At 38.3% G+C, this 14,623-nt stretch overlaps 1 protein-coding gene across 7 annotated transcripts in view; it reads right to left on the bottom strand.

Moving 5' to 3' along the window:
* The window catches only part of SOBP (sine oculis binding protein homolog), a 171,190-nt gene that overhangs the window by 143,445 nt on the left and 13,122 nt on the right, over positions 1-14,623 (bottom strand). For 5 of the 7 annotated variants that reach the window (NM_018013.4, XM_011535920.3, XM_047418962.1 and 2 more), the window contains exons 2-3: positions 14,067-14,205; positions 11,435-11,620 (exon numbers count right to left, since the gene is read on the bottom strand). In NM_018013.4, the coding sequence (NP_060483.3) occupies positions 11,435-11,620; positions 14,067-14,205 (325 nt within the window). The other 2 variants (XM_047418965.1, XM_047418968.1) reach the window with 2 other exon arrangements.

Here is a 14,623-nt window from a genome sequence, read left to right as displayed (position 1 = left end):
ATGTAATTAACTTTTTCCATTATGGTTAGTACTTTATGTATGTAGTTTAAGAAATATTGGTGTATTCAAGATCATAAATTCCCCTAGGCATTCTCTAGAAGCTCTATTGTTTTACCTATCACATTTAGATCAACAATCCATCTACAATTTGTTATGAATGATGTGAAGTAGAGAATCAACATACATTTTTTCCATAAACATATTTATTGAAAAGACCATCCTTTCTCCACTGCTCTACCGTGTCATCTTTGTTGTTATAGACTGAATGTTTGTGTGTCCCCCAAATTCATATGTTGAAGCTCTAACCCCCAATATTATGGCAATTGGAGATGAGGCCTTTGGAAGATAATTAGTGTTAAATGAGATCATGAGGATGGGGCCTTTGTCCAGTGGGATTAGTGCCCTTATGAGAAGAGACAGCAGAGAGCCTGCTCTCTCTCTCTCTCCCTTCACCACATGAGGACATAGTAAAAAGGCAGTGATCTACACTCCAAGGAGAGAGACTTCACCAGACATTGACCCTGCTGGCACTCTGATCTTGATTTCCAGTCTTCAGAACTGTGAGAAAATAAATTTTGGTTGTTTAAGCTACCCAGTCTATGGTATTTTATGTCAGCCTGAGCTGACTAATATATTTATCATGAGTCAAGTATCAATTTAGATTTGTTTCTGGACTCTGTTATAATTGTTTATACCTACATCCTTGCATCCTTGCCTACTATCATAATTATTCTGTCCTTACAATAAATCTTGATATCTGAGAGTATAAGTCTCCCAATTTTATTTTTTTCTTCAAGATTGTTTGAACTATTCTTGCTCCTTTGCATCTCCATATACATTTTAAAAAACAACTTTTTAATTTCCACAAAATTTTATGCAGGATTTTTATCAGAATTAGATTTAAATATATAGATCAATTTAGGAGGAATCTTCCTCTTTACAATATTTAGTCTCTAATCTATAAACATGGTATGTCCCTCTATTGATTTAGGTCTTCTTTAATTTCTCTCAGCAATGTTTATGATTCTCTGTGTAACCATCTTACACATATTTTGTGAGATTATTTTCCTGGGTATTTGATGGGTCTGATACTACTTTAAATTATATTTTTAAGATTCACTTTTGAAATTTTTATGGCTGGAATACAGAGATATCATTGATTTGCAGATATTGACTGTGTTTAGAGACTTTGATAAATTGAGTCGTAAATTATAATAGTTAACCTGTAGATTGACTGTAGGGAGGTCTATATAAAATAGCATTTCTGTCTTACAAATCTTGAGTTTCTTACTCCTTTTTATTTCCTTATTAAATAATTGTCTGTTAATTTCCGGTACAGAAGTGGGTGATACTGATCTTTCTTTTCTTTTCTTTTTTTTTTTTTGAGACAGAGTCTTGCTCTGCTGCTCAGGCTGGAGTACAATGGTGCAATCCCAGCTCATCACAACCTCCATTCACTGCAACTTCTGCCTCCTGGGTTCCAACAATTCTCCCACCTCAACCTCCCGAGTAGTTGGGATTATAGGAGCGCATCACCACACCCTACTAATTTTTGTATTTTTAGTACAGACTAGGTTTTGCCGTGAAGGCTGGGCTGGTCTCGAACTCCTGTCGTCAAGTGATCTGCCTGCCTTGGACTCCCAAAGTACTACTATTACAAGCATGAGCCATTGTGCCTGGCCCATAATGATCATCTTAATCTCATTCTTGATATCAAGAGGAAAGTTTTCAATACTTCACTATTACGTAATATTGGCTGTGGAGTGTTCTGTTGATAACCTTTGGACAGATTAAGGAAGTTCTATTCTATTCCTCCTTTGCCAAAAGTTTTTTTTAATCATTTATAGTGCTAAATTTTATCAAAATTGTTGCTGCAGCTATTACTTTATTCTGTTAATGGTTTTACTTTAACAGAGGTTTTACTTTATTTTGTTAATCATATTGACTGATTTTTAAAATTTAAACCAACCTTGCATTCCTAGAAAAAAATCTAAATTAGTCATGATGTATTACCATTTTGCATATATCATTGGCTTTGGTTTGCTATAATTTTGCTCAGTATTTTTGCATGAATGTTCATGATGAACAGAAGTTTTCCTTCTTTTTTTGTTTTTTGAGACAGAGTCTCGCTGTCACACAGGCTGGAGTGCACTGGTGTAATCTTGGCTCACTACAACCTCCACCTCCCAGGTTCAAGCAATTCTTGTGCCTCAGCCTCCCAAGTATCTGGGACTACAGGCATGTGCCACCATGCCCAGCTTATTTTAGTATTTTTAGTAGAGACAGGGTTTTGCCATGTTGCCCAGGCCGGTCTCAAACTCCTGAGCTCAAGTGATCCCTCCACCTCGGCCTCCCAAAGTGCTAGGATTACAGGTGTGAGCCACCACACCCAGACAGAAGTTTTCAATTTTAATGTAATAAAATTACACTAAATTATTGTTTCCCTTACTTATAATGCCCTTGGCATGTAATGTGATCAATGTTATGCTGAGATCATAAAATAAGTCTACGTATTTATTTCTTCTCTATTCTCTGAAAAAGCTTCTCCAACTTCTTTTCTTTGTTTGTTTTTTGTTTTTCTTAAATGTTTCACAGAATTTACCATTGAAGCCATCTAGGTCTGGAATATTCTTTGTAGAAAAGATTCAATTATTTTATTTCCTTAATAGGACTACTCAAGTTTTCTATTTCTTCTGTCTGTTTTGGTAAGTTAAACTAATGTGACGTCTCTGTCAAAGAAACTCTGGGAATTATTCTAGTAATCACTATGCATAACATCAAAATGATTAGTTCTAATAACATATGAACCTTTTTATTTACTCACATTTCATATTTCCTAGCACTTGTTATCTTAAAAAATGTCAAATCTATTATTTCATTCACTATTTGTTCAAAGTAAAAATTAACAATCATTAAAACTTGTCCCAAGCAGTATAAATCTTTCATCAGACTTCTGGCTGTTATAACTATACATATATGCAGTTTGCTTTATATCTGTTCAATTAACAAGTACCTGTTAAAGCACATTAAAACATACCCTCTCAAATCATAAAATCAGGAGAGCAACTAACCATACAAGTCACAAAATAAGGATTTTATAAATATAGGGAAATAACAGATCATGTAAGCTAACCACATCATTTTGCAGACAAGGAAACTAAGGCTTAGAGAAACTACCTTATTCAAGATTACATGGCCAATAAATGGCAGAGCTGGCATTAGCAACCCAGGTCTCCTGGTTCTTGCTCTGGCAGTCTTCACCACCTCATGCTACCATTCAAATTATACATTTCATCTGGCATTAAAAATGATAGAACACACTAAAATGTGCCTTACACATTTTTAAGAACCCTTAATTGTAAAGAGAACAATAAAGCAGGACCCATATCATAGTATCTAACATTTTCAGGTTTCATTTTGGATCTTTTTTTATCACTTTGAATTTGAGTTTTCAATTGCTATCTTCTAGCCTATATTAAGTTTCAGGTGCCATTTCCCCTCAACTGTATAAATATAACAGTTCTTGATTATCTGCCTATAGACTTTTTGCTACTCCACTTTAATTGCCCTTGTAGTCCTACCATGCACCTTCCATATGCAACTAAAATTATATCATACATTCCAAGGTAAAACTAGAATGATGTTTTGATCATATGCCAACAGTACTATTAAGTTCTTGGTAGTCAAGGATGATGACATACATCTGTATTGTCTAGCACAATGTAAGGAACATTCAGTAAATACTTAACTGACTGAAATACTGCCATAGTGTTTTGGATAATCCAGTGGTTAAGGATATAGGCTAAGGAGACATAATGTATAGGTTCAAATATCAGCTCTGCCACTCAGTATCTGTGTAACCTCAGGCAAGTTGCTCAACTTTTCTGGGCCTCAGTTTTCTCATCTGTAAAACAAGGTTAATAATAGCATCCACAAAGAGTTGTGAAAATTAAATGATATAAATCTACTAGCATAATACATGCTCAAAAACTATTAGCTATGATGAGATTATATCATTACATTATTAAGTACTCACATTTCTGCCATTCATCGTTAATTCCTCCTGTCCTTATCCTAAGTGATTGGGAAAACTGAGGGTTCAGTGAACCTCTTTTTCTTTCTTTTTTTTTTTTTTTTGAGAATTGCATCTGGTACATAAATAGTAAGTCATCCAAATCCCATTAACTCTAGGTAATTTTATTTAATAATCATATTTTAAAAGTTGGACAAATAAATAAAGTCCAAAGCAATTTTGATTAAATCCTGTTTTCTCAATGGCTATTTGGAACACATCATCATATGCAAGCCCCAAGAATATTGAATAACAGATAAAATAAATAATGACCATAATGCAAACCACATTCTCATTCCCATTTCCCTGCAAGTACAACTCCATGTCAGAATTATAAGAGCCAAAAAGTAACATGCTTATTAACTGTGGGTTACTCAGCTATATACATAGAGGTTAGCAGATCACGTGACTGTTTCCATATTCTCCGTTAAGCTAATGGTTCCTTAGAGTCCAGTTCTTATAACCCCTTAGGAATTTCAAGATTTGCCTGAAAATATATATCATATTTCCCTGACTATAATGGAACTCAAATTTGGAAAACTAACTGAAAAGCAAACCATCCTGGAGGACAGGAAATGGTCATTGTTTTCAAAGAAAGATAAGACATTTCTGCACACAGGAAATCAAGCTGGTTTTAGGGGATCGATCTTATGTTGCTCCACACAAACCTGTCTGTGCCGTATGGACAGGCTCTTCCTTTTACTTCACATGTGCAAACATGGTAAGAAATGAGAATAAGGGCACTTATCATTTGAGGTAAAAGACACTTTATTCAAGACTGCCACATAAATGCATAAAGAGAAGTATATTCCCTCTTTTTTTCACATTTCATTTCATTTTAAAGTATTCAGAGATTTACAGGGATTCTGGACTTGGAATAGGCAAGTTGTAAGCCTCTGGGAAAACCTGTCAAAAGACTCAGATCTAAAATGTGGTTTTCTAGGTACACACGGTTTTCTGCAGCAGGAAAGCTCTCACTAGAAAAAGTTGCTTCATTTCACTTCTCCTTGTGAACAAAAACAATCACACTAATAGTTTTATTAATTTAAAAAAAAAATTTTGGGAGCAAAATGTTGTCATGGAGCAAACCCAAAACTAGAGGGGAAAAAGTCCTGGTCTGAGTCTCAACTGGGCCAGGGTCTACCCTGGCTACTTTGACCAGAAGTTGACAAGGTGGGGAGACCCAAACCTGCCCTACCTCTGCAGAAAATTGATGGCCAGTCAATGCAGCCAAGGGCTATTACACTTGTAAAGCAGTGAAGACCATTATAAGGCCTTTGTCAAAGATATGTATTCAAAATCCCTTCTGAGTGCTTTACCTCAATCATCAAACTTGGAGGGAACCAAATTTAAAGCTCAATTAAAACCAGAGAAGGCCAAATATCTTAATGAAGACTCACTACAGCACAGTTCTTACAATCCATGCCCAAGCCCTTTAAAGGCATGATCATCTTCGAATGAAGTCTCAAAGGGTTGAACCCATGCTAAAATCTCTAACATGAGATGAATTACAGCAAAGTTACCGTTTAATTAACCTATCTTTCAAAATTCTTGCTGACATATTTTTTGCCACTTCAGATTATGTTCATGATGTGATTTTTTAAATTAGCAAAGAAGGAGGTTTTTACATTTGTTCAAACTGAAAGAATAAAGACATGTTTGCACAAAAAGAAAGTGTTGGTCAATACTTTTATTATTTTCTAATATTCTTATAAGTTTTCTTCATGGCTTGCCTATATGGCAAAGCCTTATTCTGTTCATTTCCTAGAGTCTGCAAAAAAGTCTGTGATTATTATTTAAGGATCATGGTGATTCCCTTCACTGCATGGGGGCGGGGGAGGGGGAAAGCAAAAGCAAAGCTATTATCCTGTATTTATAACACGTCTGTTACCATAGTAATGCCTGTGCTGTCACAAACCATACCAAGGGCCAGAGGCTGTCTCTGTGGGGGGAAAGGCAGCACAGAGTTGGAAGATGAATGCACACATGTGTGGCCAGAGCAGGGTCAATGCTGTGGTAACCACCAAGACACGGGAGCTCCCCTTCTCCAGAGAAAAGGGAGGGCAGGGCCAGAAGAGCAGTTCTCCAGGCCCAGAAGTAAGCTACACCCACAATTCTGTATGCAGCTGTGAGAAAGGAGAGTGGAAATCCAAGTCAATGCAGTATCACCGTGTTCCCAATCACGAGTATTCCACTGGGCCCACTGGCTGCCAAGACATGGATGGGATCCAGTGGTGAGCCTGCCCCAGCACATGAAACACATGCTTGGGAAACAGTGCCTGACTGGATGGAGCCCTCTGGTACCCTCAAAGAGAAGCAACTCGCCTCATGACGGCAAGAACTGTAAAACAAAGCTAGGATTTTACCCCTACTGGGCCATCCACGCTTTTAGAACCACAGATTCTCAGGGTTAGGGAAGAACTCATTGAGTGTCCCCAAAAATGTGGACTTGAAAAAGTAACTTTTAGCAGGAAGAGAGTGTATGTCCTGTCATTGGGGTATCTGGAAGTAGTATATTAACAGGCATTATTATTCTGATACAATCTAGGGAAATTTTGTAGGAATATGCTAAAAGGCAATTTACATTAAAAAGAATTTTGGATTAGGAGTCAGAAGACCTTAGTACTAGTCTTGGCTCAAGTACTTAGAAGCCATGTGACCTTGAAAAAGCCATTTAACCTATTTGAACTTCAGCTCTTTAAATTTAATATCTAATATGCTATTTCCCAGAGTTATATGAAGACCATATTAAATAAAATAATCAATGTGAATAAATTTCATAAACTCTAAAAATTTTAATGAAAGGTATTATTATTATTAGCATTTTCACATAGCCAGTTTACAATGGGATAGGAATAATTTGAACACTAACACAGGAATCCAAAGCATACACATGATCCTCATCTTCCCTATCTTGAGAGGTGCACTTGCATGATACAGTCAACTCTAAATTATTCAAGGGCTGATTATCAAGGGGCCTTTTGCTCCTAGCCACTGTACCCTTTATTTGTTTCCCCACAGGAATGCAGCATTAACCTACATACAGCTAGAAAATTGACAGTAGCATATCTCAACCCAATTACCTTGAATCACAACTCTGGTAAAAGTTTTAGCAATGGAAGAGTTAAAATGATTCACTAGATGGAAGTTTTTGATAATTTGTTGACTTTAGCCATGGATAATTAAGAGTGATGGAATCCTCGTTTCACTATCAAGGAAGCTGCAGTCAAGGTCAAACAGGTTGGGACTAATCCAGACAAAACACTAGCATTTTCTCAGTGAAATGCTTATATATGTGCAATAAGATTTGAATATCAGTCATTCATTCATTTATTCAACAAATATTGTGTCAAGCTCACCAAATACCCTGAAAACTCACTATTTTCCTGCCCTTGCTGTTCTTCCTTCCTTGAAATACATACTGCACCTCGGCAAAGTCCATAGCCTGACTCTTTGAAACTCTAGTCACCTTCCTGTTATCATGAGACTGTGGCTAATCTTACCTTAGCACAAGCAGCAAATTATGTCCGTGGGCCACACCCTGCCCACTGTTTTTTTTGTAAATAAAACTTTATTGGAACACAGCCACACCTATTTGTTTATGTATTATCTATGGCTGTCTTTCTGCTACAACAGAAGAGCTCTGTAGTTGTGATAGAGACAGTATGGTCTAAAAAGTCTAAAATACTATCTGGCCCTTTACAGAAAAGGTTTGCAGACCCCTGCCCTAGATAGTATGACTAAATCAAAATTCAACTTCCCTGTAAGTTCCTGCTTGGTAACTAAGAGAATAAGCTCCTTAAAAGTAGAGAATCTTTTTGTATCTTTGTCTTGTCATATAGAACCCTTGAGTAGGACAGAGTCAAAGTTGGGAGCGGAGATAGAAAATTAAACATGTCCTTCCCTACATTTTATTTTCAACAGATGAGCGCCCTGGAATTCCATGGAAGACAGCACAAAACCAATAAAACCACTGGTGTTCAGTTACTCTGGCTTCTAATTCCTCAGAGTTCCTACATCTAAGACTTTCAAGGCTCAATTTTTGGCCTCTGTCCCTTCGCATATTTATTTCCTGATCTGATGTGGAATTAGAGTTAAATAGGAGCTGTGTGCTTGAATTCCACGTGGCTGGCTCAGCAGGAAACTCCAGGGCAGGTTTTTTGGCATGCCAAACTTATGTTAGCCTCAGCTATGCTAATTTCTAAAGCTGTTTGCTTTGCTCAAATAAATCTTAGAGACCAATTTGCATTTGGATGCACACCTTTTTATGCACAATTTATGTGCATGATAACTCTAGGGCAAAAAAAAAGAAAAAAGGTCTGGTTTTGTGAGGCAGGCACTATGCTAAGGGCTTTACACACATTTTCTTTTTTGTTTTGTTTTTTTTTTTTTTTGAGACAGGAGTTTCACTCTTGTTGCCCAGGCTGGAGTGCAATGGCGCCATCTTGGCTCACCGCAACCTCCACCTCCCAGGTTCAAGCGATTCTCCTGCCTCAGCCTCCCTAGAAGCTGGGATTACAGGCATGTGCCACCATGCCCAGCTAATTTTGTATTTTTAGTAGAGATGGGGTTTCTCCATGTTGGTCAGGCTGGTCTCAAACTCCCGACCTCAGGTGATCCGCCCGCCTCAGCCTCCCAAAGTGCTGGGATTACAGGCATGAGCCACTGCGCCCGGCCTTACATACATTTTCTTATCTCATCTCCACAACAACCACATGAGGTAGGGCTGGGATCCCCATTTTACAGATGAGAAAACTGAAGTGAAGAGAGCTTATGTAACTTGTCCATGTTCACAGGGTGGTACATGACAAAGCCTAGATTTGAACCCAATCTGTCTGAATCTGAACCCCATGTACTTGTCACTTACTCATACTACCTTACTGATACCTTCATCATCATCTCCCCTCCCCTAAGCCACTGGGCATATATTCAAACGTAAACTCTACATTTACAAAATTAGTTACCCTTTTTTTCCCACTTGGCCTACGTAAAATATGTCTTTGGTCCTTGGGAAATAAATGTGGACCCCTCCGTATCACAAAACAATCAACCAAAGGAGAACAGGGGCACAATAAGGCAAACTTTATATGATACACCAATTACATTAGTAATTAGTAGACAAACACAATTACAAGTGATTTTGACAGGTAAATGGATTTTAATGACATATCTAAGACCTCAATATGAAAGGACTTTTTTTTTTCTTTTTTTGAGACGGAGTCTCACTCTGTCACCCAGGCTGGAGTGCAGTAGCATGATCTCAGCTCACTGCAGCCTCCGCCTCCCAGGCTCAAGCGATTCTCCTGCCTCAGCCTCCCGAGTAGCTGGGATTACAGGTGCCTGCCAACACGCCTGGCTAATTTTTGCAGTTTTAGTAGAGACGGGGTTTCTCCATGTTGGCCTGGCTAGTCTTGAACTCCTGACCTCAGGTGATCCACCCGCCTTGGCCTCCCAAAGTGCTGGGATTACAGGTGTGCCAGGCTGAAAGGACATTTTTACTGCTAAAATGCAGCAGGCCAAGCAAAAGAATGTAGCGGGAACCATGAAGAAAAACGAGAGTAACACTTAGAATACAGTGTAAGTATATCTATAACATAAGCCCAGGAACTTGTATCTACAAATTTCTTCACTGTTTATGGAAGCATAACCAAATACCTATCTTCCCTAATAAAAACACAAACATTAGCTTTAGTATGTTATAATAAGTACTGCTGTTGAAACTCAGTATTTATCATTGTTCAATTCAACATACAGAAAAATAACCAGCGTTACAATTAAACATTCTAGGATGATTCCAACATTTTACAGGGAGCCAGATACAATATTATTTAACTTCTTTCTCTGTGTGAAATATATAGCCCAGCTTGCAATATCACATAATGCTCAGCCCGTTGCCATCTAGATCTAATACACTGCCATCTAATTTTCTGGAAATATAAGAATGAATTACATTTTCATACAAGTGAAAGATCTCCATTAAAAAAAGAAAAGAAAAGAAAAAAGCTCTCAAAGAGAGCTTTCCAGGAATTAGAAAACACTCTGTTGGAGAAGATATGTAATTTTCAGGGGTGTCCAACCTTTGGGCTTCCCTGGGCCACATTGGAAGAAGAATTGTCTTGTCTTGGGCCACACATAAAATACATTAACATTAACGATAGCTGACGAGCTAAAAAAACTGTTTTAGGGCCCGGAATGGTGGCTCACACCTGTAATCCCAGCACTTTGAGAGGCCGAGGTGGGTGGATCACCTGAGGTCAGGAGTTCGAGACCAGCCTGGGCAACATGGTGAAACCCTGTCTCTACTAAAAATACAAAAATTAGCCAGGCGTGGTGGTGAGCAGCTGTAATCCCAGCTACTCAAGAGGCTGAGGAAGGAGAATCACTTGAACTCGGGAGGCAGAGGTTGCAGTGAGCCAAGATAGCACCACTGCTCTCCAGCCTGGGTGAGAAGAGCGAAACTCTGTCTCAAAAAACAAAAAAATTTAAATCTCAAAAAAAATCTCATGATGTTTTAAGAAAGTTTACAAATTTGGGTTGGGCCACGGGTTGGATAAGCTTAATCTAGGTGGTTTCTCTAATGGATTTAGAGGAAAGCGTGTTGAAGACCAAGCCTGCCTCATGTCCTTTTACAAAACTATCCCTCTCCTCAGAAGACCCCAGAGGAGATGTGGCCCTCCTTATGCACCACCCAGTTTTCAACCATGGTTACTTTTTTTTTTTTTTGAGACGGAGTTTTGCTCTTGTTGCCCAGGTTGGAGTGCAGTGGCGTGATCTCGGCTCACTGCAACCTCTGCCTCCCAGGTTCAAGTGATCCTTCTGCCTCGGCCTCCCGAGTAGGTGGGATTACTAGCTAATTACTAGCCCGCCACCACACCTAACTAATTTTTTGTATTTTTAGTAGACATGGGGTTTCATCATGTTGGCCAGGCTGGTCTCAAACTCCTGACCTCAGGTGATCCGCCCGCCTCAGCCTCCCAAAGTGCAGGGATTACAAGCCAACCATGGTTACTTTTTTTTCTTGCTAAACAGTCATTGTCTATATTTTATTTTTAAAAACCATTTTATCTTTTTTTTCTCATTTAAACAGGTGATTTCAGAGAAGGAAAATAACTTTGTTTTGTAGTCAGTGGTAGAAAAGGTTTACTGTCAGTTGAAAGTTTATAGCCTAAGTAGTAGTAGGTAGGGAAATTTTCCTAATGTAACAGTAATACTCTAAGTGATGCCTGTATTAACATTTCTTACCTATAAGGTCCCTAAAACAGCCTCTACCAAAGTTAACTTGAGCATTTAATAATTATTCCTAAGATGGTTAAAACAACTTTCTATGAATTGTTATCACTGAAAACACCAGTAGTGACTTACCTGCTGGTGGCTTTATGAAAGGTGGTGGAATTAAAGGTACAATAATGGGCACACTGCCATGATCCTTTGACCCTGCAGGTGAGTCACTGAGTCCATTTCCAGTGGCAAGCCCTGAATAGCCTGTGCTTATATTGTATGGTGAAATAACACTGTCCTCGGGTAATTTTGGTTTTGGCAAAGAATTTTCTGTAAAAGAAAAAAATCATATTCAATGTGACCAAGGAATGTAATGCAGTAGACTTAAATTTTTCCTTATTTTCTCAAGTAAAATGGCCATGAACCCAACATATTTTTTCTTGCAAATCTTTAAACAATGTACTAGAACTCCACAGTTCATCCAGGAACTTTTTAGTGTGGTTACCATAAATTTCCAATGGGCTCCTTTATAATTTGCTCCACTATGATAGCTAATATTCCAGTTGAATCATGGTGATAAATTTTAGCACTGTAAAATTCCATAGAAAATTGAGAGGTGGTGGCTGGGCAAGGTGGCTCACGCCTGTAATCCCAGTACTTTGGGAGGCCAAGGAGGGTGGATTGCCTGAGGTCAGGAGTTCAAAACCAGCCTGGCCAACATGGTGAAAGCCCGTCTCTACTAAAAATACAAAACTTAGCCGGGCATGGTGATGTGTGCCTGTAGTCCCAGCTACTCGGGAGGCTGAGACAAGAGAATCACTTGAATCTGCGAGGCCGAGGTTGCAGTGAGCTGAGATCATGCTACTGCACTCCAGCCTGGGTGACAGAGCAAGACTCCATCTCAAAAAACAAAAACAACACAAAACAAAACAAAACAAAACTGAGAGGTGACTAGGCGCAGTGGCTCAGACCTGTAATCCCAGCACTTCAGGTAGCCAAGGCGGGCAAATCACTTGAGGCCAGGAGTTTGAAACCAGCCTGGCCAACATGGTGAGACCCCCGTCTCTACCAAAAATACAAAAATCAGCCAGACATGTGGCGCACGCCTGTAATCCCAGCTACTTGGGAGGTTGAGGCACGAGAATCGCTTGAACCCAGGAGGCGGAGGTTGCAGTGAACTGAGATCGCGCCACTGCACTCCAGCTTAGGTGACAGAGCAAGACTCTGTCTCAGAAAAAAAAAAAGAAAGAAAAGAAAATTGAGAGGCAATTAACCTTTTTTTCCATGTACAACATGATATACAGCAAGCATAGCTCTCTGGCTACCAGGGGAAAGCCTAAAACGTGCCCTCCAGCATTGTAACTAGGTCCCACTGTATTATAAACTTGTATCATAATATAATCACATGAACCAATGAGAAAGAAACAGGGAAGAAAACTGATGCTTCACAAGGTATCGATAATACCCATTAAAAAATAACAAAAATAAAAATTTTAAAAACTTACAACGATATGAGCTTTGTGCATCGTATCCTTGCATGTGAATCACTTAAAAAAACAAATGAACAAAAACCTCAACCATGGAAAACAACTTTTTCGTTCTAGTAGCATATCCTGGCATGCTGTATGTTCCCCAGAAGCAAAGATTATTACCTAGGCCAAGTATTATATGAGCTATTAGTTTATAGAATACAAACTCATGACTTGCATTTTTCATTTACAGTGAAATTGATGATACTATCTCTGTAGCATGATGTGTACAATTTCATAGTAAGCTTAACATAAAATTTGTCATGTACATTCAATTCCACTTGCCTGCAGGGCAGCTCAATTACATTTCCTTGCTTGGCATATAAGAAGGGAAAGCTCTATCTTAAAGACTGGAAATAAAACGTTTGAACAGGTAGTTTATGCCAATAGATTTTGAATGCAACGCAAATATTGATCAAATTGCCAGTGATGATGTATAATTTGTTTTACCCACATTTTATTAAAGTTTCCTGAATGGGCTGCTTCTTCACATACTTCTCTTTTCTTTGACAAGCAAGCTCTCATTCCTAATTTAGGTTCATAAATTCAGTATTCATACAGACTTCCCCCATGAGATATCTGGCACTGTTACCCACTGGTAGAATCAGTGTTAATTCAGCTCTGCCAAGGCTCTGTAATTTTCACTCTTTAGCTGGGCTTTGATTAAAAAATTCTTAAAGAGTAATATAGGCTCTAATCATCTACCACTCTCTTACTCCTCTTTTTACCCTATTCAAGTGCGTGGGGGCAGGGAAAGAATGAAAATGTCAAGCAAAACAAAAATAGTAATTCCGTTTAGATTTCCCACTGAAAAAAAGGAAGGAGGATTACCAAACTAACAGTGAATCTCTCTAGCAGTCTGAAGATCTAAACCTAACATTTCACTTAACAGAAACCCCAGTCCCCAACAGATGATGATCTATCAAAGTGATCAGGAAACTCTAGTTAGCAAACATTGTCCCTTTCTTTAAATCTGTATGCAGGACCATGGCACTTAGGTCGCTAGTCCTTGTCTAGTTCTCCCATTGCTGGGAGGAGATTAAGCTGTGTCTATTTTTGTTTTATGTTGTTCTTTTATATTCTGCAGAATTCTGCTTATGGGAAAGCACTATTGGGGATGTATGTTTAAATCAACCATTGGCATAATCAACAAAGCAACTCAATTGAGTCCCAAAGCAACTCAATTCTGGCAGGTTGAGATAGTTAATCCTTCTTTGCATGAACAAAAGGACATTAAATGTCATTACCTTTGAGAACAGAAATGTGCTGCCGGCTCTCCCCATCTGTAGGGTAGCTCCTGAATTCAATATCCTCACCATCTTTTAATTCAACCTTATCATAGCCATACCAGCCAAGGAGTTCATTCATGGTGTTTTCTGCAAAGTTCTGAAAGAGAAGCATAGGCTACTACTTATTTCTATAATCAATAACTACTTGAAAAGAATGCATAAATTGAATTCTGCTTGTCCTACCTCATTTATTTGCAGCCCTGCCTCACTTCCCCTAGTGTGGTGTTCATTTTTCAAATCATGTTCAAAACCATAATGTTTTTAAATCTTAGGATGATGCATTCAATTATGACAGGGCTTCAGATATTTGTAATTTAAAGATAATAAGACAAAAAAGACTAACTATATTTGTTAGTGTTGCCTATGAACAGGAAGTCATATTTTAGCACATTAGTCTATAAAATCTATATCCAACATCAATACAAAAATATTGAAAGGTGAATCACAAAAACAGCTAAGAAAAGATTTTGAAAATGAAAACAACCTTTTGTGGTTCAGATCAATTTCAATTAAAA

The sequence above is a fragment of the Homo sapiens genome, chromosome 6 (genome assembly GCF_000001405.40).
Source record: "Homo sapiens chromosome 6, GRCh38.p14 Primary Assembly".
Classification (NCBI taxonomy): domain Eukaryota; kingdom Metazoa; phylum Chordata; class Mammalia; order Primates; family Hominidae; genus Homo; species Homo sapiens.
This window is presented reverse-complemented; position numbering and strand designations above follow the sequence as displayed.